The 27817-nt window shown below is 37.0% G+C and overlaps 1 protein-coding gene across 4 annotated transcripts in view; it reads left to right on the top strand.

Moving 5' to 3' along the window:
- The window catches only part of PDE5A (phosphodiesterase 5A), a 134402-nt gene that overhangs the window by 18212 nt on the left and 88373 nt on the right, over positions 1–27817 (top strand). For all 4 annotated transcript variants that reach the window (NM_001083.4, NM_033437.4, NM_033430.3 and 1 more), the window contains exons 2-3: positions 3296–3884; positions 13981–14070. In NM_001083.4, coding sequence (NP_001074.2) covers positions 3296–3884; positions 13981–14070 — 679 coding nt within the window. The remainder of the gene's footprint in view (positions 1–3295; positions 3885–13980; positions 14071–27817) is intronic.

Here is a 27817-nt window from a genome sequence, read left to right as displayed (position 1 = left end):
TTAGGAATTCTGTTTTCACCATTTTAAGTGGTCTAGATATCCACGTGGAGTTGTCAAGTAGGCAGTTTAATTTAAAATTCAAAAGGAGATCTCCATTTCCCGTTGAGAAGATAAGAAATAAGTTGGGGCTAAGTTTTGGGTTTGTGGCTGAAATTGTTAAAATGTCTATTTTTATATGATTTAACAGTTTAGTAACATGTCCATATTTAAAATCACATCAGATATGTTAACTTAGACATATTGCTTTTTTCCTGTCTTATCTTTTCCAAACAGTTTTATTTGAAAGCTTCCTATGCACTGTTGGCAGCTTCACATGCATTTTTAGCATCAGTGTCTTTGGCACTATTAGTGCAATTCTGGGGGCTACATAAGCAAATCCCAGAGTGTGTCACCTTCACTTCTAAGGTTTTCAGATACTGAATTATTTTAATTAATGTATGTTGTCTTCACCGGAAATTTTGTCCTAAGTCACAGCATGCATCTATGAAACATTAGGACAATTATATGTTTTTAAAAATCTGTGTAGGTATATGCTTGTGATTTGTACAATACACTTACCTACCACATTGCTTTTGTGCTTCTTCAAATTTGTAATACCTCTTTATTAGAAAGTCAGTCAATTCATAAGGCCAGTGAGGTTGTTTTCCTTTAAATTACTCATTGGATATTTTTAAATTTATTTTTTAATTGACAAGAATTTTATGTATTTAAGGTGTACAGCATGATGCTTTGATGTATGTATACATTGTGGAATGGCTAAGTCAAGGTAGTTTACATATGCATTGCCTCATACTTATCGTTTTTTGTGGTGAGAACCCTTAAAATCTCTTTCAGCAATTTTTAAATATACAATACATTATTATTAACTATAGTCACCATATTTACAATGGATCTCTTGAACTTATTTCTCCTAAACTTTTTGGAGACTTTTATAACTGTATTCAACTCTTGAAATTATAAGGGGGGTAATATTTTTATCTTTTCATTTTGACCGATTACATTCTAGATGGGGTATCATTTCAGAGTAATGTATATTTAACAAATAATACATCATTGTTCAAAATGAAATAATTAGGGGAACATCCCATAAATGAAAGACTTAGTAAAGACTCAGAAATAAGACAGTGTGTTCTTTTCAAACTCTTTTACATCTTCTGTTTTCACTTAATTAATTCATATCATACATATCAGTACATATAATTATGTTTTAATGTCTGCCTAGTGTTCTCTTGTATAAGTGTGCCATGATGTATTTAGTCAGCCTTCTATTGGTGATATTAGTTTGCTTCTTATCTGCTGTAGCAAACGTACTTACTATATACAGTAAATACCCTTGTATTTCCTTTGTCACATGTGTAAAATCTCTGGAACAAAGGATACATACATTTAAAATTTGTTAGATATTGCCTATTTTTTTTTATTTTTTTTTTTGAGACGGAGTCTCGAACTGTAGCCCAGGCTGGAGTGCAATGGCGCGATCTCAGCTCACTCCAAGCTCAGCCTCCTGGGTTCAGGCCATTCTCCTGCCTCAGCCTCCCAAGTAGCTGGGACTACAGGCGCCCGCCACCAAGCCCGGCTAATTTTTTTTGTATTTTTAGTAGAGACGGGGTTTCACCATGTAGCCAGGATGGTCTCGATTTCCTGACCTCATGATCCGCCCGCCTCGGCCTCCCAAAGTGCTGGGATTACAGGCGTGAGCCACCGCGCCTGGCCTAAGTAATATCAATTGTTACTACAACCAAAAACTTTGGAGAGTGACTACATCCCTATACTATCTCCAAAATAGTACATTGTCAAACTTGTTTATCCTGGACTTTTGTTTGGTATAAACAGTCAATTATGTCATTGTAGATTTGAGATTACATTGCTTTTTGTATAGGCAAATTATTTGAAATATCCTCAGTTATAGCAACTTTTTATCTTTTGAAGGTAAGTTTGAGTTTTCTAAAGCGTCATGTCTTATCAGAAGATAGAGAATTAAGTTAGCTGTTACCATAGGTTTTTTTGTTTTTGTTTTATTTGTTCATTTTGGGAGGAGGAGTTAGTGAGAAACAAGGTCTAATTTTTAGATAAAATTAGTATTTTTATTTGGATTATAAATTGTTTCAGAAGTTTGTTTCAAAAGAAGAGTTCCAAAAATGTCTAGAGTAATGACACCATTAACTGGTGTAAGACTACAGCGTTCTAAGGGGAATTATTTGAATTGAACAACATGCTTTGGATTGTGTATGATCTGGTATGTTTGTTTTAAAAAGTCACCTACTGTGATGGCTTTAGCTCAAATGAGTTTCTTTCATAGTAGGGTACATTAAAAACATAAATGCCTTCAGTTTTCTTGGACTGCAGTTTTAAACTTAGATAAAGCCTACTTTAAAATAGTCATAGATAATCTAGAAAAATAGATCTTTTTTACCATTATTAAACAAACATTATTGGGATAATATTTACAGAAGTCTGATTTTTCTATACAAGATTAAATTATTTGTTTCTTTCATTAATCCTTCTAAACTTATCTACTTTTGCAATATAGATATAACTATCTAAAATAGGCATAGTAGCAAGCCAAATTTAGACAAATATTTGTTTTAGTTTTCAAATATTTAACTTCAGAACAAGTTATGTGTTTTAAACATCAAATTAATGTGCATATTTATATTTTCCTAAAACTATTGGCAAATTTAGTGTCTTTTACTTTTTAATATAAGCTAATTTTGAGAGAAGCAGACTTTATGCTTGGTATGCTGCAATCAGATATATAAAGTTATGTATATAGAAGTCAGCCTTTATTAAGATGTTCATTAAAGCAATTGTCCTCTATTGTTTTCCAAAATAAAATTGTCTTTTTTTTTTGAGAGAGTCTCACTTTGTCACCCAGGCTGAAGTGCAGTGGTGCAGTGGTGTCATCATACCTCACTACAGCCTCGAACTCCTGGGCTCAAGCAACCCTCCTGCCTCAGTCTCCCCAGTAGTTAGGATCATAGGCACATGCTATCATGCCCAGCTAATTTTTTAATTTTTCCTAGAGACAGGGTCTCACTAGGTTTCCCAGGTTGGTCTCCAACTCCTGGCCTCATGCAGTCCTCCCACCTCAGCCTCCCAAGGTGGTGGAATTACAGGTGTGAACCACTGTGCCTGGCCAAAATCATATGTCTTAAGTAAACCATCTTGTTTTTATTTTCTATAACATATCAAATTATTATCTCATCAGTTTACCATGAGAAGATGTTTAGGAGCTCTCAGGCATAGCACCCTTCCTCTTCAAGTATCTAATGTGTCTGCACGTTCTGTTCTGCAGAGAAATGGTCAATGCATGGTTTGCTGAGAGAGTTCACACCATCCCTGTGTGCAAGGAAGGTATCAGAGGCCACACCGAATCTTGCTCTTGTCCCTTGCAGCAGAGTCCTCGTGCAGATAACAGTGCCCCTGGAACACCAACCAGGAAAATCTCTGCCTCTGAATTTGACCGGCCTCTTAGACCCATTGTTGTCAAGGATTCTGAGGGAACTGTGAGCTTCCTCTCTGACTCAGAAAAGAAGGAACAGATGCCTCTAACCCCTCCAAGGTTTGATCATGATGAAGGGGACCAGTGCTCAAGACTCTTGGAATTAGTGAAGGATATTTCTAGTCATTTGGATGTCACAGCCTTATGTCACAAAATTTTCTTGCATATCCATGGACTGATATCTGCTGACCGCTATTCCCTGTTCCTTGTCTGTGAAGACAGCTCCAATGACAAGTTTCTTATCAGCCGCCTCTTTGATGTTGCTGAAGGTTCAACACTGGAAGAAGTTTCAAATAACTGTATCCGCTTAGAATGGAACAAAGGCATTGTGGGACATGTGGCAGCGCTTGGTGAGCCCTTGAACATCAAAGATGCATATGAGGTAAACAGGGGAGCATGAGAGCAGGACCAGTGCTGGGGAGGGGACTATGGCTGGGGCGGGTACTATGGCTGGGGCATTGGATAGCAATCATGAATGGTGGGGATATTTGAAACTGAGATGTAATAATTTGCATACTTATTTAAAACTGGAATGTATGCTAAGAATTTTCCCATCTTTAAATGCCAGAGTTTCTTTCCTGGTGGTTCAGTTGAGGATATGAGCCTTAAGGAAATCTCATCTTGTTTTTCTCCTTAATGATAATTTAATATAGCTCATCTCATGGTTATATTCTCCCATCTTTTTATCTGATCACTATACATATCCCCATCTATGTTATCCCCACATGAACCTCTTAGGATTTTACTGAGATTCTAAAATGATAGGTGCAAAAACAAAAAAAAACTCATAGTCTCTTTTCATTCATTCATTCAATTAATCATATTCATTCAAAGTCCCATTGATACCAAAGTCTGGTTTTCTTTCTTTCTATCCTCTCTTTCATTTTTTAAACAGATAAACTTACAGATGTCTTCAAAAAAATGGAAATTTTTGCTCTAAAAGTTTTCAATGGAAAGATTTGTTATTTCTTCTACTTTTGCTATACCTATGCACAAGTCTTTAATTAAGGGCTTAAAGGTTACACTGTAAGATTCTTCAAATTTCCCATTTAAAATAATCCTTTTTATTAATGGAATTTTAGTTTTAAAACCAAGCATCTTAACTGAATGGCACTTTATATGTTTATGAGGTATCTTACAGCATCTTGATAGAACAATTGTTCTAGCTTTCTACTGTGTGGTACACTATAAAGATTCAGTGGTAATTCTGGCTTAGTTCATTTAATTCAGAGAGTCATAGCTGTTTTATTGTGTTCCTGGTGCCTTATAGTGCCTGGCACATAGGGCTTAGTAAATATTGGTTGAATTAAAATAATAGTACATGCAATAGATAAATAGCATAGAGAGCAGGTCATTAACAGATGCCAAGAAAAATGTGATAAGCTTCAGAGAAGCAGGATAGGACATCTAGTGGGAAAGATAGAGAAAATTTCTTTTTTTTTTTGAGATGGAGTCTCACTTTGCTATCCAGGCTGGAGTGCAGTAACGCGATCTCGACTCACTGCAACCTTTGCCTCCCAGATTCAAGTGATTCTCCTGCCTCAGCCTCCCGAGTAGCTGGGATTACAGGTACCCGCCACCACATCTGGCTAATTTTTGTATTTTTAGTAGAGACGGAGTTTCACCATGTTGGCCAGGCTGGTCTTGAACTCCTGACCTCAGATGATCCTCCTGTCTCAGCCTCCCAAAGTGCTGGGATTACAGGCATGAGCCACCATGCCTGGCCAGAGGAAGATTTCTTTGAGGGAGCAATGTCTGGTACAGATCCCGGAAAATTTGAATAAATTGAATAAATTGAGATTTGTGCATGGTGAGATCCAGAGGTAAAGAGAAGTTAGAAGAGATAGGCAAGTAGGACCATGTAAGTGTGTGGATAAGAATCTGGACATGAAGGAGCTGTGGGAGCACAGCCAGGAAATTAGAGGTCTTGAATGCCAGGCTGAGGAATATATATTTGGTTTAGAAACATGAGGAGTAACTGAAGATGTTTTGAAAGGGGAACCAGTATGATTTAAATTGTGCTTTGGAAGGATTAATTTTACAGTAGTCATAAAATGAATTAGAGGGGAAAATGCTACAAGTTGGGAGGATAGAAGATTATCTTAATAGTCTAAGTAAGTATGAGGAAGTAAGGACCTTAACAAGGACCTTGGCCTTAAAGATCAAAAGGAGGGAATGGATTTCGGATGAAGAAGTATTAGGTTGGTGCAAAAGTAATTGTCATTACTTTTAATGGCAAAAACTGCGATTACTTTTGCACCAACCTAATAGAATCTGCTGAACTTGGCAGCTAACAGGAGATGCAAGTGAAGGGAAAAGAGGAGTTGAAGATGACCCAGGTTTTGAAGCTGGGTAAATGAATAATGGTACTACTAGTGAGTAATACCGAGGGCCGGGATTTGGGGTGTGATACTTCATCTAGGTTAAGTCCTGAAATGTTTTTTCAGAATCCATTCTATATAAGCAATGTGTTCAATTTTGATTCTCTTGGAAAAATTTACTGGTCTTCATAGAGTATCTCTATGACCTCTTTGAGCTCTGTAATAACTTCACACTGTAGCAGATTCCAAGAGGGGTATTAAGGACACAGCTGAAGGATTGCTGCCAAGTTTGCAGAATCCCCTTCCTGTCTTAAGTGACAGCTGGGTATCCACTTTTCAATGGCACTATGGTCCCAAGAGTACAGTAGGATCATAAATATTCTCTAGCTTTGTTGAGAAAGTCTTTATTTGTCTTCATGGTCCTAAGTGTCTCCAGCCCTGAGAATTCTTCACTTATATGTGTTTTATTTAATCTGCCTACCATCTTCAAAGTTTTGACAATGTATTTTCTGTTTTGCATTTGATAATGATTTAATTCTTGTACTATTGTTTAAAACAGCTAGTGTCCTTGATTTGCACTGCTCCCAGGGTGATGCCTCTTAGCCTGTGGATTTGTCATGTTGCTACTTCACATTTGGTACCCTTGATCTGTATTTATAGTAGCCTTGCAGGAGTTATTTCATGTCCCAAGAATTTCATTAGAACTTGTGGGGGTTGATCTGTGATCTAATTTACATTGTGATCTAATTTATATTGATATTAGCAGTGGAAGTCAGTTGGCTAATGGATAATTCATTACTAAGCACCATCCATAATTTGAATAATTAAAATACTATGTTTTTTGAAAGTAGTCAGGATATGAAAATATATTCTAATGTTTTCTGAGTCCTAGCTCTTTAAACATGCATCTGTAAAAATGACACTGTATGGCAGTGTTTCTTAAGCTTATTTGATCGTAGACCACTTTAAAGGATGTAATGTCACTGTGGGAAACCAAGAGAGGTGTCTGTGAAACAGAATAATACTCAGATTGATGCTGAGAATTTTTTTTAAAGTCTCATAAAGTTAATTATAACAAATGACCTATATTTAGTTCACTTTTAAAACTTTGTAACAGAAAATGATATAAACTGATATAAATTTGAAAATTCTATAGTTTTATTACTGATAAGAAAACATATTCGTATATTCAAAATACAAGACAGGATCCACTACTCAGACCAGTGATTCTCATGTAGACCCATAAATACCAATGAAAAGATTAGTTGGTAAATGCTACCTGTACATTGATGTTCAGTCACACACGGTCTCATGCATCAGCCCACCATCATGCAACTACCTTCAATGTGCCACACCATGTATGTATGTATGTATGTATGTATGTATGTATGTATTTATTTTAAGCCAGAGTCTCACTGTGTTGCTCAGGTTGGAGTCCTGGATTAGCTGATCCACTCACTTCAACTGCACGAGAAGTGGCTATGGTCCTGAGTAGGTGGGACCACAGGTGCATGCCACTGCAGCCGGCTTGGCACGGCATTTATGAATAACAAGAAGATATTAACACATTTATTAATAAGATATTAACACTTATACTAAGAAGCTATTAATAGTAAGATATATAATCAGAACTACTATATAAATGTGCTTGGTATTTTCCTTTTATAGGAAAACCAGATAACATCCAATAACTACACAGGATTGCCCTGAACCCCATTCCATGTCCTGAGGAAGTCTTAAACCTTCCCATGATTCATATGTCTTAAGGATTTACATTGTCAAAACATCTCTCCTTCTCCCAAGTCAATTAGAGTGCAAAACTCAGACTCATGTCCTGTTTCTACTCCAGGACAGACACTCCATGTGAACCATGATTTCTAGAGAGAAAACTTAGAGGGTCTTAGGGAAGGGTCAAATTGCCACTTATGTGGCCTTGACCATGTAGCTATTATTCCTTCCTTCCCCACTTCATCTTTCCCTTTCATTTTTATTTCTCCAGAGAAACAAATTTTCACCTTCTTTCACCATGCAGTTTCTTACTTTCTATTTCAACTATTTATCAATATATTTTTCTAAAGAAATACGAATTGTTTCAACTGAATTTCAGATGATTATTTCCAGATGAATTTTAGAAGAAAAAGAAAACCCCTAGCAATTGTTGTAATTTAGACAAATCTCCTAATAGAAGTGTAACTGTGCCCCTGGGAACACAGTTTGGGAACTGCTGTGTCTATGCTTGTTCAATGTTTCAGGCATTGTCTTAAAAATTCCACTCTGTGGAAGAAAACCAGCCTTATAATTTGTCAAGTCATCTGTGTTGTTTCCTTTTTAAAATTTTCTGTTATTTTTATTTTGATATAATTTTAAACTCACAGAAAAATTGCAAGACCAGTATAAGAAACTGCCATACACCCTTTACCCAGATTCTCCAGTTATTTTTTTGCCCCATTTGCTTTATCGTTTCCTCTTTTTCACTCTATAATGCATATAAGGAATATATGCTTATTATTTCTGAAAGATTTAATAAGCTAAAGATATGTTTTTACTAAATAGTTCAGTGTATATTTTCTAATAAGAATATTCTCTTGCCCAGCCATAATAAAATTATCAAAATCAGGAAATTTTATATTGATAGAATACTATTATCTAATCTGATACAAGACTATTAACAGTCCATAGTCAAAATTTCATCAGTTGTCCCATCCTATTAATAAGCTTTAGAGTTATTTTCCCCCAATCCAAGATAGTATTCAGGATCCCATATTGCACATAGTTGTAATGTCTGTTTAGTCTCCCCTCCATCTGAAACAGTTTCTCAGCATTTCTTTATCTTTTTAAATTTAGACATTGTTAAAGGGTACAGGCCTGTTATTTTGTAGAATGTCCTTCACAAATAGATTCAAGCTAGGCCCTTTTAGCTGGAATACCATATATGTTAATGCTGACACCTTAACTAAGCAACGACTATTTAATTTTCCAGTTCTTTGACACTGCAACCCAGTTCAACCCAATTCAGTTCTGATTCTTAACCTCATGGAGTTAGCACTGACCCTACATGTTAAGGGCTCAATCCCACAAGCCTGCCCCGACTTCAGACGTCAGCTGCAAGTGGGATCCCTAGGCTACCACACTTCTTCCAGGCTGACTACCAATTCAAGGATTCTAGTGACCCCCGCTTAGGTTCAGTAATTAGATAGAATGACCCACGGAACTCAAGAAAGCACTACACTTATGATTACAGTTTTATTAAAAAGGTTACATACAACTCAGGAGCAGCCAAATGGAAGAGATGCATAAGACAAGGTATGGGAGGTGGCGGGGGGTGGGGTGGTGTGCAGAGCTTCTATGCCTTCTCCAGAATGCCAGCATCCCAGCACATCAATATGTTCACCACCCTGGAAGCTTCCCTAGACCTCATTTTTCCCAGCTTTTTATTGAGGTTTTATTATGTAGGTATGATTGATTACATTATTGGCCATTGGTGAGTGGATTCAATCTCCAGCCAGTCTCCCCTCTCCAGAGGTTGGGGGTGGGACTGGAAGTTCTAAACCTCTAATCACAAGGTTGGGTTTTCTGGTTCCCACCCCTAATCCTGAAGCCTTCTAGGGCTCACCTCATTAGTGTGAATTCGGGTATGGTTGAAAAGGGCTTGTTGCAAATATGGAAATACACTAGTATCACTCAAGAAATCCCATGGCCTTTAGGAGGTCTGTGTCAGGAACTGGGAACAAAGATCAGAAACATGTTTAATTGTACCACACACCTTCGTAGTGTATCTTATAAGGAGGCATATTTATGTGATGTAAGTATTGATGATGTTAAATTTGATAACTTTTTTAAAGTGATATCTACCAGGTTTCTCCAATAGTTTTTCCCATTGTAATTAATAAGTATCATATGGGCAGATACTTTGAGACTGTGTAAATACTGTGTTCATCAACAACCTATTGACCAGCTTTAGCATCCACTGATTTTCTAACTCCATCATACCTCTTATATTTATTAGCTGAAATTCTAATGTAAGAGAGAGTTTTGCCTTCTCCTTCATTCATGCATTCACATCAATTATGGACTCGTGTAATATTTTATTTAGTCAATTATGTTCTCTTATTATCTTTATGCTGATGTTCAAATTATAACAAATTTGCTGAGTCCTTTTTGTTATGTCCTTATTAATTTTGGGGCATTTTTTTCACTTTCTGGCTAATCAGAATGTTTGAGGCCTATCTTACACTTTCCGTGCCCTAGCCCTAGAATCATTCTTTTTTCCCAAGGAGCCCTGGTTTCTTTTAGTGGGGGGAATGGTATTAAGAAACCAAGATTAAGGCACTAGATGTGCTTATTGTTGCTGGTATATTAGCAGACAGAGCTAGGAAAATAACATATAAATATACATACACATCTATATTGTATTTATTTCTGTATCTATCTACTTATTATAATAAAAACAACTGAATTCATACTGATACTTCCAATTTCATCCAACAACTAAAGATGCATTATTTTTCTTTTTTTCCTCTATTGGGTGTTTCATTCTCCAAAAATGAAAGACTAGGCTTCCTTACTCTTTTTATATATATATATACTCATGTGCTCAAGCCACATTTCTAGCTCTTTCTAGATTTTAATATCTTTCTCTTTAGACTACAGAATTTCCTTTCGCACTTCTTATAGTACATACAGTGCTGACAAATACTCTCAGTTTTAGTTTATCTGAAAATGCCTTTATTTTGCCTATATTCTTGAAGGATATTTTCACTGGATAGATGAACCACTATCAGTTGATAGTAGTTTTCTTTCAATATTTTAAAAAAGAGTTTTCTCATTTTTTTCTTGTCTTCATTTTTCTTGGGAGAGGTCAGCCATCCTTTGTATCATTTTCAACTTATATGTTTCACCCTACATATCATTTTCACACCATGTGTGTAAGCTTAAGGTTTTCATCAATTTGGGAAATTTTTCTTTATAAGTCTTTAAATATTTTTCAGCTTCATTATCTTTGGGACTCCAAATATATGTATGTGTGTGTGTGTGTGTGTGTGTGTGTGTGTGTGTGTATACACACTTGATAGTATCCTAAAAGACACTGAAACTTTGTTAATGTTTTATGGTTTGTTTTCTCTTTCAATCCTTCTGAATGGATACTTTCTGTTGATTTATCTTCAGAGTCACTGACTCTTCAGCTGTTTTCGGTGGGCTGTTAAATGTATTAATGAACTTGGTGTTTTACACACTATACTTTTCAGTTCTAGAATTTTCATTTGACTATTTTAATAGTTTTTTCTTTCCTTGCAGAGATTCCTATCTCTGCAAAGAAGTTATTACTATATTTTTCTTTAAATCCCTACATTAATTTTTAATAGCTGCTTTAAAGTCCTTATCTGTGAAGTCCAACATGTGAATCATCTTGGGGTCATTTTTTATTGACTACTTTTTCTCTTTACTATGGGTTTCATTTTCCTGTTTCTTTACATATGTGGTGATTTTGTATTGTCTGCTGGTCATAGTCTGTTTCACTACATTTGGATTATATCCTCTTCCTTTAAAAAAGGGATGAGATTTGTTCGGGCAGGCAGTAAAATTACTGGCAGATTCTTTTGATCCTGTCAGGCTTGGTCTTATTATTTGTCAGAGTGGATCTTTTGAATTTAGTCTTAGGGAGTACCCCCAACTATATGGTATAGTCCTTACTCCTAAGGAGTGGTCTTTTCCTGCCTCAATGCCTGCGCTGCTGAATGAATTCTCTACTCTGGCTGGGCTGGAACTCCATTGTCTCCAAACACTTCACTAATTGGTGTCACATTCAGTTTTTAGCCTTCAGCAGGTAATTTTTGCTAGTCCTTTAGGTTTTTTGCCCTATACATGCCCAAAGTGACTAGAAACTCAGTATCTTTTGGTCACTGCTTCCTAACCATCTTCCTTCCAACCCCCCAGCACAGCCCCTGTGCTTTATACTTTCCAACCACTTCAGAAGTTTGGAGCTCCATTCAATTCTGTTTCAAAGCGTTGCTCTCATTGGGTAGCACCTGCCTTCTCTAAAGCAGGAAAACGCCCTCAGGCAGAAAGCCAGAATGTTGAATGGCAATTACTTATGTTGTCTTTTTCTTTGCTCTGCCCATGGCTTTGTTGTCTTGTATTTTGTCTAGTCTTATAGATGTCTTCAGCAGGAAGGAATTCTGGTACCTGATACTTTGTTATGGCAAGTGGACATCCAAGGCTTGTGTTCTTTCATACTGTCATGTTCTTGTAAACAAACAGTGAAAGGAATAATCACAATGATTGTAGTGTTCCATTTTTTTCTTTGATGTTTACTGGACCTAGAGGGGTTAGAACTCCTTTATGTATATTGTCTTTGCACTGAGTACATTGTTAAAGGAGAACTCCTTGAGATGTCAGGAGTTTGGAACTTCACCTCAAATGAAATTTGAAGGATGTATTTATTCCCACCCTCTTCACTGGAGAGTGAAATTCAGAACTGCTGTTGATTTTAAACTAACAGTAGACACAAAAAATATGTGAAAGTCCTACTAAATTTAATCTGTCAAACTCTACTGCTTTGATTAGGTAGTTGGGTTAAGTCTTCTTTATAAATTGTCTCATAATTCAAATGTTTATTAACAAAGTAACACTGAGGATGTATTTTTATTCATGTTTTACTTATTGGTTTGTAAAATAATTCACTATATATCAATAATTTTTCACTTCTTTAATTCATCAACATTATCTTGTCTGCTTTCTTTAGACAATATCTAAAGATAAAATAAGAATTTTATTAGGAAGATTCAGCTAAAGTTTTTCTCTGCATCTCAATTCATATAACTTTGAGCATGTTTGCAGAAAAAGCAAAAATGTAGTAGTGTTTATAATATAAAATATTTATATTGATTTTTCACCATTTTATACCTTTTCTTTTGAAATTATCTTTAAGCTAAGTTGGGCCCTCTCAGTTGAAAATTGGCCTCATTTCTGACCCCAATTGATGGAATCTAGTGTAATCACTTCATTCACAGCTTTACTGTGACTAATTTATTTTTTATTTTTTTAAAAAGAAATGACCTTCAAAGCTCATCAAAAGATGAGCTTTTCCAGTGTGGATATTCCATATTCTCTGAAGGGAATTCCAACTGCGTAGTTTTTGGAGCAGTGATGCTATTATTAGATTAAGCATGTAACTCCCCAAGGCTATCGCTTTGAAGGGAACAGCACTCATTCAGATGTTTATGTCCTGGAATGCTTGATTCCATTCCACTCTAACCTCATGTTGTTGTAGCTATTGATTTCCTCTACTTTGGTTTTCCCTTTACTGACAAGATTTGCTTTAAACTATATGGTAAGGTAAAAATGATAACATTTGATAACCGTGGTATTATTTGTTAATGAATTCCTTCATTGATTTAACGCATGCTTTTGATTGAGTTCCTGTGCTAGGAATACAGTAATGAACAAAAAAAGAAAAAAAAAAAAACCCTCACAGAGTTTACAGCCTAATTTGAGATCTTCCCAATCTAAAGTGTAATGGAAAATTAAACTTTACCTTTGTTTCTTTAATTCATACTTAGAAATTTAACACCTCAGAAGTCCTTTATGATTATTGGGTGTGTATAATGTGCCTTGTAAAAGGGGAAATTCAAAAGATTAAAGGATTGTTTACAATCTGACTCAATGAGATTGTGTATATATGTGTATAATTTAAACTCTTAGGAATACTTGAGATAGAAGTACAGAATACTGAAGAACTGTAAAAGAGCCCTTACAAGGGAAGTAAAGTCATTTATTGAAAAGGTTGTTCTGGAGGCACAATAGAATCAGGTTGTGAGATGATATTACAGAGGTGGAGAGATGCCACTTTTTCCTGAATTTAAGTACAGCTATCTAAAGTGGTTAATATTTTGAATTTTCTTTATTTCTGAACATTTGTTCGAGTCTGTATTTTTTTCTCTTAAACACTAGCTGCTTATAAAAAAGCTCAGCAACTTCAATTTATCTTTGTCAAATATAATATGTACTTACATGATGATGCCTTTCACAACAATAAAATTGTTACTCAGAGTAACAAGGTAAGTCCAAGGTTAGATTTCTCTAATCTAATAAATCAGAAAAATCAAATCAATCTTTGAACAGGTCAGTCATTAAATTGAATTTCTTTTTCCATACTAGGATCCTCGGTTCAATGCAGAAGTTGACCAAATTACAGGCTACAAGACACAAAGCATTCTTTGTATGCCAATTAAGAATCATAGGGAAGAGGTAAGCCAATTTTCCATTTTATAAAAGGTCATTGGAAATATTTTTCTTTTTGAAAAATATTTTGTATTTACTTTGCATATATATGAAATAATGCTTTAGTGACAAATTAGCTATAAAGTTCTTAAATGTTCTGCTTGATTTTTTTTCTATTTAGATTTTTAGTTACAGGGCCTAATTCTGATAATTGCTTTACTATGCCCATTTACTTAGAAATAAATTTTATGCATGTCATATTCTACCTCCCCTCTTCCTGAAGGCGTTATTCTATCTTAAGATATGTAATTATGGTTGTGATTAGGATCAATTCATTGCATATTATGTTTTAGGAGTATGAGTAGTATTCATAAATGCTCATCCAACTACAGTGGTCATTAACGGATTTCATTCAAATTGAGGTTTTGAAAAAAATGGAAATCATAGCTAATTCTAATTATGTAAATTTCAATTTGAAATTTTAACAGGCAAATGAAAATATGTTAGTTTATATTTCACCTAACTAGAAGATTTGGATTCTGTTATCACTGAATTCCCTCTTCATTTTACACTTATTTGGAAAAAAGAGTTAATAAATTATCAGTTAAACTGAATATTTCAATTGAGCATTCTCAATCCTGACTGTGTATTACAACCAACTGGAGAAGTCTAAAAGATTACCAATTGTATTAATTGGGGTTCTCCACAGAAACAGAATCAATAGGATATATGAGGATATATGAGGGGATTTATTTATGGAAATTAGCTCATGCAATTATGGAGACCAAGAGGTCCCACAGTCTGCCATCTTCAAGCTGGAGAACAGGAAAACCTGTGGTGTAATTCAGTCTGAGGCTGAAGGCCTGAGAAATGGGAGATTTGCTGGTGTGAGTCCTAGAATCCAAGGATCTGAGTATTTGAAGTTCTGTTGTCTCAGAGGAGGGAGAAGATGGATGTCCCAGCTTCCGAAGAGAGAGCAATATATGCTCTTCCTCTGCCTTTTTGTTCTGTTTGGGCCCTTAGTGGATTGGATGATGCCCACCTACATTGGTGAGGGAGAATCTTTTTCACTCAGTCTACTGATTCAAATGCTAATTTCTTCTGGGAACACCCTCACAGACACACGCGGAAATGTTTTACCAGTTATCTGGGTATAGCATTTAAAAATTCTAATGCCGAGGTTTCACCTTAAATCAGAATCTCAGGGATTGGGACCCAGGTATTAGTATTTGTTAAAGCTCCCAAATGACTGCAGTGTGTGGCCAAGGTTGAGAACCACTGCCAATCATATTAGAAGTACTTGATGCTTCTACTTGATTTATATTCAAATTCTGACATTTATTCTCCTTCCTCCATCTAGTGTGTTACCAAACCCCATTGATTTTTTTCATTAGAATGTTTCTGATTTCAATATTTTTTTCTTTTTATTCGTGCTACCTGCATGCACCATGATTCAGATTTTGAAGTAATGCCTAAGGTTTTTAAATGTTCTTGTAAGGTGTTTCTATCCTTGCAGTCAATTTCCCTTTAGTCCATTCTACATATCACTGCCTGGAAATTTGCCTAAAACACAGCTTTCTAAATCAGTGCTTCTAAAACTGTGTTGTGCATAGGAATCACCTGGGGATTTTGTTAAAATGCAGATTCTGAATTCAGTAGGTCTGGGTAGAACCTGAGATTCTTTTCTAACAAGTACCAAGTTGATGATTACCTGGGTCTGCTGATCACAATTTGATTAACAAGGCCCTAAGTCAGTTACTTCTCAGTAGTCATTCTCAGTGCCTTAGAGTTGCCACATGGTTTCTTAAAAAGTGTAGTTCCAGCAGTAGTAACTAAAAATGCCTGCAGCAATGACGTAATATGAGATTAATTAATTAGTTTAATTAACTAAGTATGTGAATGAATACATAAAATTGAAAAGGCCATACATGGACTGATCATTATTGTGTTATTAATATGGTTGCCAGGTATATCAAATTTTTAAAGAAATGTGTCCCATGCATTATTTGGGACATCATTATACTAAGAAATTATTTGTTGTTTATCTGAACTCAAATCCAACTCAAATTTCATCTGGCAGGCCTAGTTATAAACCACAGACTAAGATTCCGTGCACTTAGGAAGACAATGTTCAGCTTTTAGTTATTAAGGATATTTTAAAATCGTGGCCCCCAAAACAGCTTTGTACCGGCAAAGGGATTCAGCCTGAATTATGCCCTGATTAAGCTTCTCTTTCTAGATAGTGTGAACAATTTCTCCAACAGTCAGGATTGGGGGAACTGATGAGAATGCAACAGAATCACTAGGAAGAAGTGAGTAGGATGGCCCTTTCTACAGAAAGTATCCTCAGGATATACATTCTTCCATATTATGACTGCCGGTGAGGATGATTTAAATTAAATAAAAAATTAAAAAAACACAGCTATATTGAGATATAATTCGCGTACTGACATGATTTGTCTGTGTCCCCACCCAAAATCTCACCTTAAATTATAATCCCCATAATCCCTACGTATCAAGGGCGGGACCAGGTGGAGGTAATTGGATCATGTGGGCGTTTTCCCCCATGCTGTTCGTGATAGTGAGTGAGTCTCATGAGATCTGATGGTTTTATAAGCATCTGGCATTTCCCCTACTTGTACTCACACCATCCTGCCGCCCAAGGTGTCTGCTTCTCCTTTGCCTTCTGCCATGATTGTAAGTTTCCTGGGGACTCCCCAGCAATGAGGAACTGTGTGTCAATTAAATCTCTTTCCTTTATAAATTACCCAGTCTCAGGTATTTCTTCAGAACAGTGTGAGAACAGATTAATACACATATAATATAATTTACCCAGCTTAAGTGTACAATTTGATGAATTTGAGATATGTATATTCGATCATGTAACCACCACTGCAATCAAGATATAGAACATTTCTGTCACTTCAAATGTTCCCCTGTACCCCTTCATAGTTGATCTCCTCCTCCCTTAACCCACAGCTCCTGACAAGCACTGATCTGCTTTTTGTCACTATTGTTTTGCTTTTTCTAGAATGTCATTTAAATGGAATCATACAGTATGTGGTCTTTTGTATGTAGCTTCTTTCACTTAGCCTAATGGGTGTGAGATTCAGCCCTACTGTTGGATGTATCAGTAGTTTGTACCTTTTTATTGCTGAGTGATTTATTCCATGGTATGGATATACTACAATTTGTTTATGCATTCATCAGTTGATAAACATTTCAGTTATTTCCAGTTTGTGTCTATTACAAAACAAAGCTGCTGTCAGTGTGTTTGCATACAGACCTTTGTGTGGACTTATGCTTTCACATCTTTTGGGTAAATACATAGGAGGGCAGTTGCTAAGTCATATGGTAGGTATTTATTTAATTTGATAAGAAACTTCCAAACTCTTCCAAAGTAGCTGTACCATATTTCATTCTTATCAGCAGTGTATGAGAGTTCCCCTTACATCACATCCTTGGCAACACATAGTGTATCAGTCTTTTTAATTCTAGGCATTCTACTGAGAGATGATTTAAATTTCATTACATGAATATGTAACCCCACTCTTAGCCAAGGACCTGCTGCCTTCTTACAGATCTGATTGAAGTGGGTTTGGCCACAGATCCCCAAATAGCCCGAAGCTCTCTCCTTTAGACTTCTGCTGGGTTCCTGAGCTTTCTCATGTCTCTCTCTGTGCTCTCACATCCTCTCCTGCTGGTGTCTGTTTTACCTTGTGGTGACTTAATATGAGCCTTGGACTCTTACACTAAGCATTTCATGAGATGAAAAAATCTTCAGTAGCTTCACTGGGGACTAAATACAGATTGAGTATACCTAATTTGAAAATCCAAAATGCTCCAAAATGTGAAACTTTTTGAGTGCTAACATGACCCTCAAAAGAAATGCTCATTGAAGCATTTTGGATTTTTCTGTTAGGGATGCTCAACTGATAATAATGCAAATATTCCAAAATCCAAAAATAATCTAAAACTTGAAACATTTCTAAGTCCCGAGCATTTCGGATAAGGGATGTTCAATCTGTAACTTTATTCAAGAGAGGGCTTCCAGAACACAGCTTTTTTTTTTTTTTTTTTTTTTTTTTTTTTTAAACAGAGTCTCGCTCTGTCACCCAGGCTGGAGTGCAGTGGTGCGATCTCGGCTCACTGCAGCCTCCGCCTCCCGGGTTTGCGCCATTCTCCTGCCTCAGCCTCCTGAGTACCTGGAACTACAGGCGCCCGCCACCACGCCCGGCTAATTTCTTTTTGTATTTTTAGTAGAGACAGGGTTTCACCGTGTTAGCCAGGATAGCTACGATCTCCTGACCTTGTGATCCGCCCACCTCAGCCTCCCAAAATGCTGGGATTACAGGCATGAGCCACCACGCCCGGCTTTTTTTTTTTTTTTTTTTTTTTTGAGACAGAGTCTCACTCTGTCACCAGGCTGGAGTGCAGTGTGGTATGATCTCGGCCCACTGCAACCTCTGCCTCCCGGGTTCAAGCAATTCTCCTGCCTCAGCCTCCTGAGTAGCTGGGACTACAGGCGTGCGCCACCACACCCAGCTAATTTTTGTATTTTTAGTAGAGATGGGATTTCCCCATGTTAGCCAGGATGGTCTCGATCTCTTGACCTCGTGATCCGCCTGCCTCAGCCTCCCAAAGTGCTGGGATTACAGGCGTGAGCCACTGCGCCCGGCCCAGAACACAGCTTTTTAAACATCTTGCTGACCCTCCCCATTCTCCTTCCTTCTCATCTTGCTCCCTTTCCTCCCAGGTTCACACTGCCAAGTTCAAAATTATTTCTCCTGAGAATTAACGTTTTCAGAGAAAAGAATGAAGAGAGACAGAACAGACACACTATCAAGCGTGGCTGTTATAATATAAAAAGTAATTTGGCTGGCCAAAAAATAAACCCAGGCCACTAACAAGGTGCAATATTTGACTTCCAGAATTATCTTTAAATTTATATCTGTATAAACAAACTCAGAGTAGTGTTTGCTTTTTATGTACACATAACTACTCTTTGTCGTGAAAATTTTAAACCAAAATGGAAAGTTGCAGGGAGGCTTTGGGGACTAATTATTAAGATTGCTTGCTCTGGGCTTGAATCCCATCTTTACCACTTAGTTGCTGGCTGACAAACCAGGATGGAACTGGTTAATCCCTTTGATCTTCAGTTTCCTCATCTGCAAAATGAGGGCAATAAAAGGATCTACCTTAAAGGGTTATTGGGAAGATTAAATGCATTCATGTGAGTGAAGGGTTTAACGTAGTTCCTGGCACACTGGAAGTGCATCAGCTACTATTCTTTAAAAGGAGATGTAGAACTAATAGAGCTTTAAAGAGAGACAAGGAATAAGAGCTGCATGAAGAGGTCATTAGCCACATAATAATCAGCTAACTGGGACCAAAGCCAGTACTCAGCTAACTGGGATCCCAACACAGCCCCTGACATAGTCTATTGATTACCCTCTAAGAAACTTTAAACTTAAGAGAAACATGTTTTTCTCTATTTTTCCTCATAAATAAGGCAAAATGAATTTGGTGTTTTCTCTTTTTCTAAGTCCACCCTTATCGAGTAAGCCAATACCCATTCTGACTAATTACCAAGGAACCTAAAAAGAACTGTGATTATTGAATCATTAAATATTGATTGTTTACAAAATATCCTGGTACCTTTCAGTGACACTGGTTTTTAAAGACATTGGTACCAACTCTGGAAAGCTGTTTTAATGGAGTAGTTGACTGCTGAATACTAAAGTCTGAATTATAACATAGGCCGGAAAATGCAGGAAGATTTTTAAGATTCACTGAAATATCTAAGCTCTTTATTTGCCTCTTATTCTTGTAAAGTATTTCAACTAATTAAAAATGTTTGGGAGTTCTTTTCATTAATGTTATAACCATAACTGTTATAGATACAGCAGTGCTTTTTTTACAAGTAAGGATCATAGATATTACTAAACATCTGTGATGGTAATTTTTGAAAAAAATCATAGAGGTTAAGTTTTTGCAATCTTCCCCTCTCCCTACTCCCTTCTAGAGAATGGAGTTAATGGGCAAAGTGGAAAAAGAAACTGGAGAAGTGTTAGAAGGCTAAAATAATTTATTTTGGAAGGTCAAAGAGCTACTGGCTGGAGAAAATGAATAAAGACAGAAAGAAAAAAGTGATCAAGGGAGAGAAGAGAGCCAGTCCAGAGTGTCTATGAGGGAGTAGTTTGAGGAGTATGGGGTAGGAGTTTGGAAATAACTGCCTTGTATGTAGGAGACAGTAAACATGTGTGATATTTATTAAGCAAATCTTGTGAAAACTGTGCTAATGATCTGGCAAGTATTAGTTCATTTAATCTTCATGACAACCATAAGAGGTAACCCATTATCTTATTCCTACCTAACAAAAAAGGAAACTGAGACATGAAACATATAGGGAACTTGCTCAAAGTCACATAACTAAAAACTGGCAAAGCTGAGATTCAAACCCAGGCATTCGGACTGTAGGGGTCATAATAGAGAGAAGAGCATTTCTTAAAAGTCTGCTATGGATGATGGCTGCACTCTGCTTCCCTCCTGATTGGTGTTTTCTTGAGACTCTGCAGTAAGCACTTAAATTATTGTTGATTTTGTTGGAGTGGAAGGTACACTGATGTGTTTAATGTGGCTACATGCAGAAGCAGGACTTGAGGTGGCAACAAGGAGATCTGCCTGTATTCTGCTGGCCCTTCAATGTTAGTGTTTAAACCGCTCTGCAGACAGACTTTTTAAGATGAAAAATGAGATGACAGAGAAAAAGAGAGAGATCATAGTCACATCCTCTGTATTGCCTTAAGAGGAATTTATAAGAAAATTTTTACCAGAGATAAAAGAGTTACAGGAGCATGTTTCATACTAATCTGAGCCAATCTGCTCCAGAGAAGAACCATGACTACAAATGAAGCATAATGAAAAAAAAAGTTACAGGTATGTGAATTTTTACGGCTGCTATTAAATTTATTTCAAAGTTAATTCTGGATTTTTCAGACCTGGGCACTTAGACCAGTTTTTATCTTTGTCATTTGTATTAATTATTTCTATAACCAGACAGAATTCTTTTTTTGTTTAGTAAAGAATTACAGAGAAGCTCAGATCTTTCCCCCTAGCTCAGATGACCTGTTTGTGAAATACTGCCCTCCCCTGAAGTATTGCTTGTTCTGACATAGTGAAGATGAGTGTTCTTTTTTATTTATAGTGGCTTCACTGATATAACCAACCCTAAATATTAACTCTTACTCAGAGCCCTATTTGTCACTCTGGGCCTACTGATTTTTTTTTTTCTCTAGATTATTTGGGGAGGAGAGGATAAGGGGTAGAAAGCAGGACTTTATGAAATAATGCAAATTTCTTATTTCTCTGAAATTTCTCTGAATTCTCTGAATTCTCTGAAATTTCTCTGAATTCCTCAAGAATTTTCTCTGAAAATTTCTTACTGATATGAACTAGAGATTATATCCAATAATGTCTTTCAGGCTAGGCTGAACCACCATTGTTGAATGTCAACTCCAGTTATTAAGTAGAAATTCAGTTTGGAATCAGAGCTCTTTCCTCCTTCTCTCTTTTTATCTTATCATCTTGATTTTATTTTATCATACTTAGTGATATACTTGCAATTCTTTGATGCAAATATGGCAGTTAAAATCAAGAATTTAGGATAAATTCATTACAACGTGGTAAAAGATCATTTTAGCTAATATCTTAGCATTTTAGCGTATATCTTCCTTTTAAAAACTAAAAAGATTCAAAAAGTATCAGCTAATTTTTATGAGATTTATACTTTGGCGAATCCAAGTGATTAACACCTACCGAAACTCATAAATTGAGGCATTCATGAAATCAGATATGTAATTCCAACTACAAAATACAAAAATAAATGTTTTTTAGAATTTAAGTTTTATGATTGTGTCTGCTCATTTAAAAATATTTTCATTTATTTCTCCTAAATTATCTTGTTTTGACAAGTAACTGCTGAATCACTGCACTTTGTAGATTCTTTTTTTTTTTTTTTTAATGAAGCAAAGAAGATACTTGCTTTTAAATTTTTTTCAATTTGGAGAGGTAGGCTAGGCGCGGTGGCTCACGCCTGTAATCCAAGCACTTTGGGAGGCTAAGGGGGGTGGATCACTCGAGGCCAGGAGTTCAAGATCAGCCTGGCCAACATGGTGAAACCTGTCTCTACGAAAAATACAAAAATTAGCCGGGTGTGTGGCATGCGCCTGCAATCCCAGCTGCTCGGGAGGCTCACACAGGAGAGTCGCTTGAACCTGGCTGGGAGACAGAGGCTTCAGTGAGCTGAGATCGTGCCAGTGCACTCCAGCCTGGGTGACAGAGTGAGTGAGACTCCGTCTCAAAAAAAAAAAAAAAAAAGAAAAAATTGGAGAGGTAGCTCTTGTACACCAAAAATTAAATATCTATATAAGGTGACAAGATAAATGTTAAATGAGTCCAATATTCAACACACAAGTTCGAAGGAAAGACTGAACTAGGGAAGCTAGAGAAATCCCTGGGGAGAGATGAAAGTGCCCTGCTGTGTTTATCTCACAGCCTCAAGAGAGGAACCACATAAATGCTCCTGATGACAAATACTTGATCTCCATGGAGTGTGGAGGCCAAGGAGTCCTTGTCTATGATCTCTCACACTCACAGTACTGACTGCCGCTTTCTTAAATTTGGCAAGTAAACTTGGAGGAAATAAATGTTACAGTTTTATTCATAATCCTTCAATTTTCAGTCAAAATAGATGAAAATATAACTGCAAAAATAAGCAGAGTTTAATAGCAGACTACCAGTTGATCTAGATCTATTTTAGTGTTAAAGAATTGGCTAGTTACATGTTTTTGAAAACTTAGAAATTGGCCAGGCATGGTGGCTCACACCTGTAATCCCAGCACTTGGGGAAGTCGAGGCAGGTGGATCATGAGGTCAGGAGATCGAGACCATCCTGGCTAACAAGGTGAAACCCCGTCTCTACTAAAAATACAAAAAAATTAGCCGGGCGCGGTGGCGGGCGCCTGTAGTCCCAGCTACTCGGGAGGCTGAGGCAGGAGAATGGCGTGAACCCGGGAAGCGGAGCTTGCAGTGAGCCGAGATTGTGCCACTGCAGTCCGCAGTCCGGCCTGGGCGACAGAGCGAGACTCCGTCTCAAAAAAAAAAAAAAATACAAAAAAATTAGCCGGGTGTGGTGGCATGCACCTGTAATCCCAGCTACTCAGGAGGCTGAGGCAGGGGAATTGCGTGAACCAGGGAGGTGGAGGTTGCAGTGAGCCGAGATCTTGCCACTGCATGCCAGCCTGAAAAAAAAAAAAAAAAAGGAAAAGTTACAAATCGTTCACTGCATTTATTCCCCACAGTATTCTTTCTTGTAGTTTTGTTTTAGAAACAAAAGTGCTGCGCAGAGTTTCTGTTTGTTCTGGACTTGAGGTTGTGATAGTGACAATCCTTTCTTTTTCCTTCTGCACACTGCCCTTTAAATAACAAAGTATATATTATGAAGATGTTAACTGCTTTCCTAAAAGAAGAATGTTTCTTAAGAGCAGCAGATGAAAAACACTGTGCTAATATGTGAAATCCCCAAGTCTACATTACTGATCAAGAAGAAAAAGAAAGTGAATAAAAACTTGAAACTGAAGATTAAATTAATGTGGTAGGCTTTGTGTACCCAAATGGTATCCTATTTTTAATGATAAGAAAATTTGGTTCATACTGAGTGCTATATTTTATTCAATAGGAAGCTTATCTTCATTGGTAATTTCAAGATAACCATTCCAGCACTTTTTGGAATGCATTACATTTTTAATTTAATAGATGATTTATAAATTTAATTTTGAGAAGTTTTACATAGTCCCTGAATAATGGGTATTAGGGGTCTGGAACCAGAGAAGTATAAAACATTTCTTTGTATAATATCTAACCCGACATCATATAATTGCACCCTGGGGTGAATTTTGACTATAAAATAATTTTCATGTTTTCATGTATTCTTGAAGAGTTAAGGTGATTGTTAATGAAATTGCTGCTCTCAATAGATATGTACAAACATCTATACTCATCCATTAATGTCTAAGATTCCATAGGTAAAGTGCTTTATCAAGTGTTAAATACCCTGTATTCCTTGTTGTTAAATGCTTATCTAAAAATCTCCATTTGCTTCTCTTCTACCATAGAATGGAAATTAATAGTCTATGCTAAATCTCCACTTGCTTTTGATCATAGAATGGAAATTAATAGTCCAGGCTGAATGTAAATCAAAGAGCAAGAGATGAGGATCTTACAAAAATTTTTAAATTTTTTTGCATCAGTTTATAGTAATGAAATGGAGTGAAAATGACCTGGATTTAGAAGTCTAGATCTATTTGATTATTACAAATTATTTGATAATCATGAGTACTATGCCGTATTGGTTATCTCTTGCAACATAACAAATTACACTAAGTGATTCTGAACAAACATTTATTATCTCATAGTTTTTGTGGTTCAGGAATTCTGGAGTGGCTTAGCAAGCTTGGTTCCTTCTGGCTCAGGTATCTCACGCGGTCAGGATGTGGGCAGGGGCTGCATGACTTATGCTTGATCATCCATTTTCAAGAGGTTCTTGGGAGAAATGCTTCATTCCTCACCATGTGGGCTCTTCATAAGTTGCTCAGTGTCCTTACATCATGGCAGCTGACTTCTCCAGAGTGAGCAATTTGAGAAAAAATGAGCAAGGAGGAAGCAGTAGTGCTCTATATAACCTCGTCTCCAAAGTTGTCCATCACTACGACTTTCCCGGCGTTCTGTTCTTTAGCAGTGAGGCTTTAGGTTCTACACCCGACTCAAGAGGAAGGGAATTAGGCTCCAGCTCTTGAAAGGAGTAGTATCAGAGAATTTGTGGAGACACTTTAACCTACCAGACATAGTACTAATGTACTTTCATTATTTATTATATAGAACATATATATCCATATTTATTTTTCTCTTTCCTTAAAACTAGCCAGAGGATAAAAGAGGAACTCTGCTCATTAATTAAAATGATCTCTTAAAATCATTTTGAGTTCTCACCTTTCATGTACTAAAAAATGTTGTGAACTACCAGAGGAGAAGCGATATAGACTGGGTTTACACAAAGGTTTATACAAAAATTGGTGTTCAAGGTTGTCTTAAATCAGAGGGAAAAGAGGAAGTAGAGCATGAAAAAGGGAACACTAAGGAAAAAAGAGAAGATGTTTGCCTCTTTGTATGGTGGCAAACTATTGAGGTATTAAAAGACTTTTTTTTTTTTTTTTTGAGACAGAGTTTCACTCTTGTCGCCCAGGCTGGAGTGCAGTGGCATGATCTCAGCTCACTGCAACCCCCATCTCCCGGGTTCAAGCGATTCTCCTGCCTCAGCCTCCCGAATAGCTGGAATTACAGGTGCCCACCACCACACCTGGCTAATTTTTTGTATTTTTAGTAGAGATGGGGTTTCACTGTGTTGGCCAGGCAGGTCTCAAACTCCTGACCTTGTGATCCGCCCACCTCGGCCTCCCAAATTGCTGGGATTACAGGCGTGAGCCACCGCACCCGGCCAAGACTTTTAAAATATTATGCCACAAATACTAACAGTTCTACATAAGATCTCTGTTTGCACGTAATATAAGTACTCACTACTTAATATTCACAGGGAATGCTCATTGGTCTGTCTCTATTATATCTTTCTGCACCATCGTTTTCTGCCTCTGTTGACAGACTGAGAGCAGAGGGAATATGTCTATTACTTTGCTACACTGTTTGAGCATCCACTAGAAGGAGGGAAGTGCCTGGAAATGAGGTCAGACAGGTAGACAGAGGCAAGATCAAGCAGAGCCTTCTAATGTCATGCAAAGGAGGTACTGAATTTTTTTTAATGCCAGGAAATATTTCCTATTGTTTAAAAATCTGGGTGGCTACAGCAGTAAGTTTGAACCATTTTCTTCACTTCTAACCCAGAGCCACATAATTTGACACTTGATATATTTTGATAATTAACTTCCATATTTGTTCATAAGCAGAGAGAGTACTTTGTTTAGAGGCAGGAAAGCTGCTAAAGAGGTTTTTGTGGATTTGTTACACTTCTGTTTAGTAGGTTTAGTGATTGATTTGATGGAGGAATGAGGGAGAGGGAAGAATCTGAAATACTTTCTAGCTTTGTAGGTAGGTTATAAAGGGGGAGAGTTGTCATATTTCCTAAAATAAGTCATTGGTTTGTGGGGAACAAAACAGTTAGCTCTTTTTCTTTTGCATGTATTGTTTTACAGACTAATCCTTTCTCTTCTCCCCTGAAATCTCTACATTGCCTCCCCATCCCCGCTTTCAGATGATGGCCTTGCTTACTGTTTCAGTGAAAGCCAACACAATTAGAAGAATATTTCCACAAGAGAACTTCCCCTACTTCTTTCTCCTGCTCCAGCATCTGAGTCCATATACTCTGGTTACCCTTTTACTTCTTGGGATGAACTGTCTGAACCAGCAAGGGCCAGCCTCCCATTTGTGCGCCAGATCTCATCTCAGTTTGCCTAGTCAAAGAAATTAGCTCAGCAGTTCTCTCCTCTATGTCCAGAATCATTAAAGTTTTCCCTGCTATCAAATCTGCTCATCAGCATACAAACATGCTGCTATTTCTCCCATCTGCTTTTGAAAACAAAAGCAGAACACTCATTGGACCACACATCTGCTTTACCACCTCATTTCTCTGATCATCACCAGAACAAAACTCTTTGAAAGAGTTATACAGGCCATGTTTGCCATTTCCATTTCCTTCCATTCTCTCTTGAACATACTTCACCAAAGCTTTCACCTTCTTCATGTTCCCCTGTCTCTCTCCTTCTCCTTTGGCCTCCCTATTCCCTGAGAGACAACAGTATTATAATTAAGCCAGTTGATAACCCTATAGTGTTCTCTAAGTGTTCAAGTGTTCACTTTAAATCAAAAGCTAGAAATGAATAAGCTTAGTGAGGAAGGCATGTTGAAAGCCAAGATAGGCCAAAAACTAGGATTCTTGGGCCAGTTAGCCAAGTTGTGGACACAAAGGAAAAGTTATTGAAGGAGACTGTAAGTGCCACTCCAATGAATACATGAGTGCTAAGAAAGTCAAATAGCCTTATTGCTGATACAAAGTTTGAATGGTCTGGATAGATCAAGCCAGTCACAACATTCTCTTAAGCCAAAGCCCAATCCAGAGTGAGACCCTAACTTCTTTAATACTGTGAAGGCTGAGAGAGGTAAGGAAGCTTCAGAAGAAAAGTTAGAAGCTAGCAGAGGTTGTCTCGTGAGGTTTACGGAAAGAAGCCATCTGCATAACACAAAAGTGCAAGGTGAAGAAGCAAGTACTGATGGAGAAGCTTTAGCAAGTTATCCAGATCTAGTGAAGATCATTGATGAAGGTGGCTATGCTAAACAACAGATTGTCAATGTAGACTAAACAGACTACTATTAGAAGAAGATGCCATTTCAGACTTTCATAGCCAGAGAGGAGAAGTCAATGTCTGGCTTCAAAGCATCAAAGGATAGGCCGACTCTGATGTTATGGGCTAATGCAGCTGGTGAATTTAAGCAGAAGCCAGTGCTCACTTACCATTCTAAAAATCCTAGGGCCCTTAAGAATTATGCTAATTCAACTCAGCCTGTCCTCTGCAAATGGAACAACAAAGCCTAGATGACAGCACCTTTGTTTACAGCATGATTTACTGAATATTTTAAGCCTACTATTGAGACCTAGTGCTCAGGGAAAATGATTTCTTTCAAAATATTACTGCTCTGTGACAGTACA

The sequence above is a fragment of the Homo sapiens genome, chromosome 4 (genome assembly GCF_000001405.40).
Source record: "Homo sapiens chromosome 4, GRCh38.p14 Primary Assembly".
Classification (NCBI taxonomy): Eukaryota; Metazoa; Chordata; class Mammalia; order Primates; family Hominidae; genus Homo; species Homo sapiens.
This window is presented reverse-complemented; position numbering and strand designations above follow the sequence as displayed.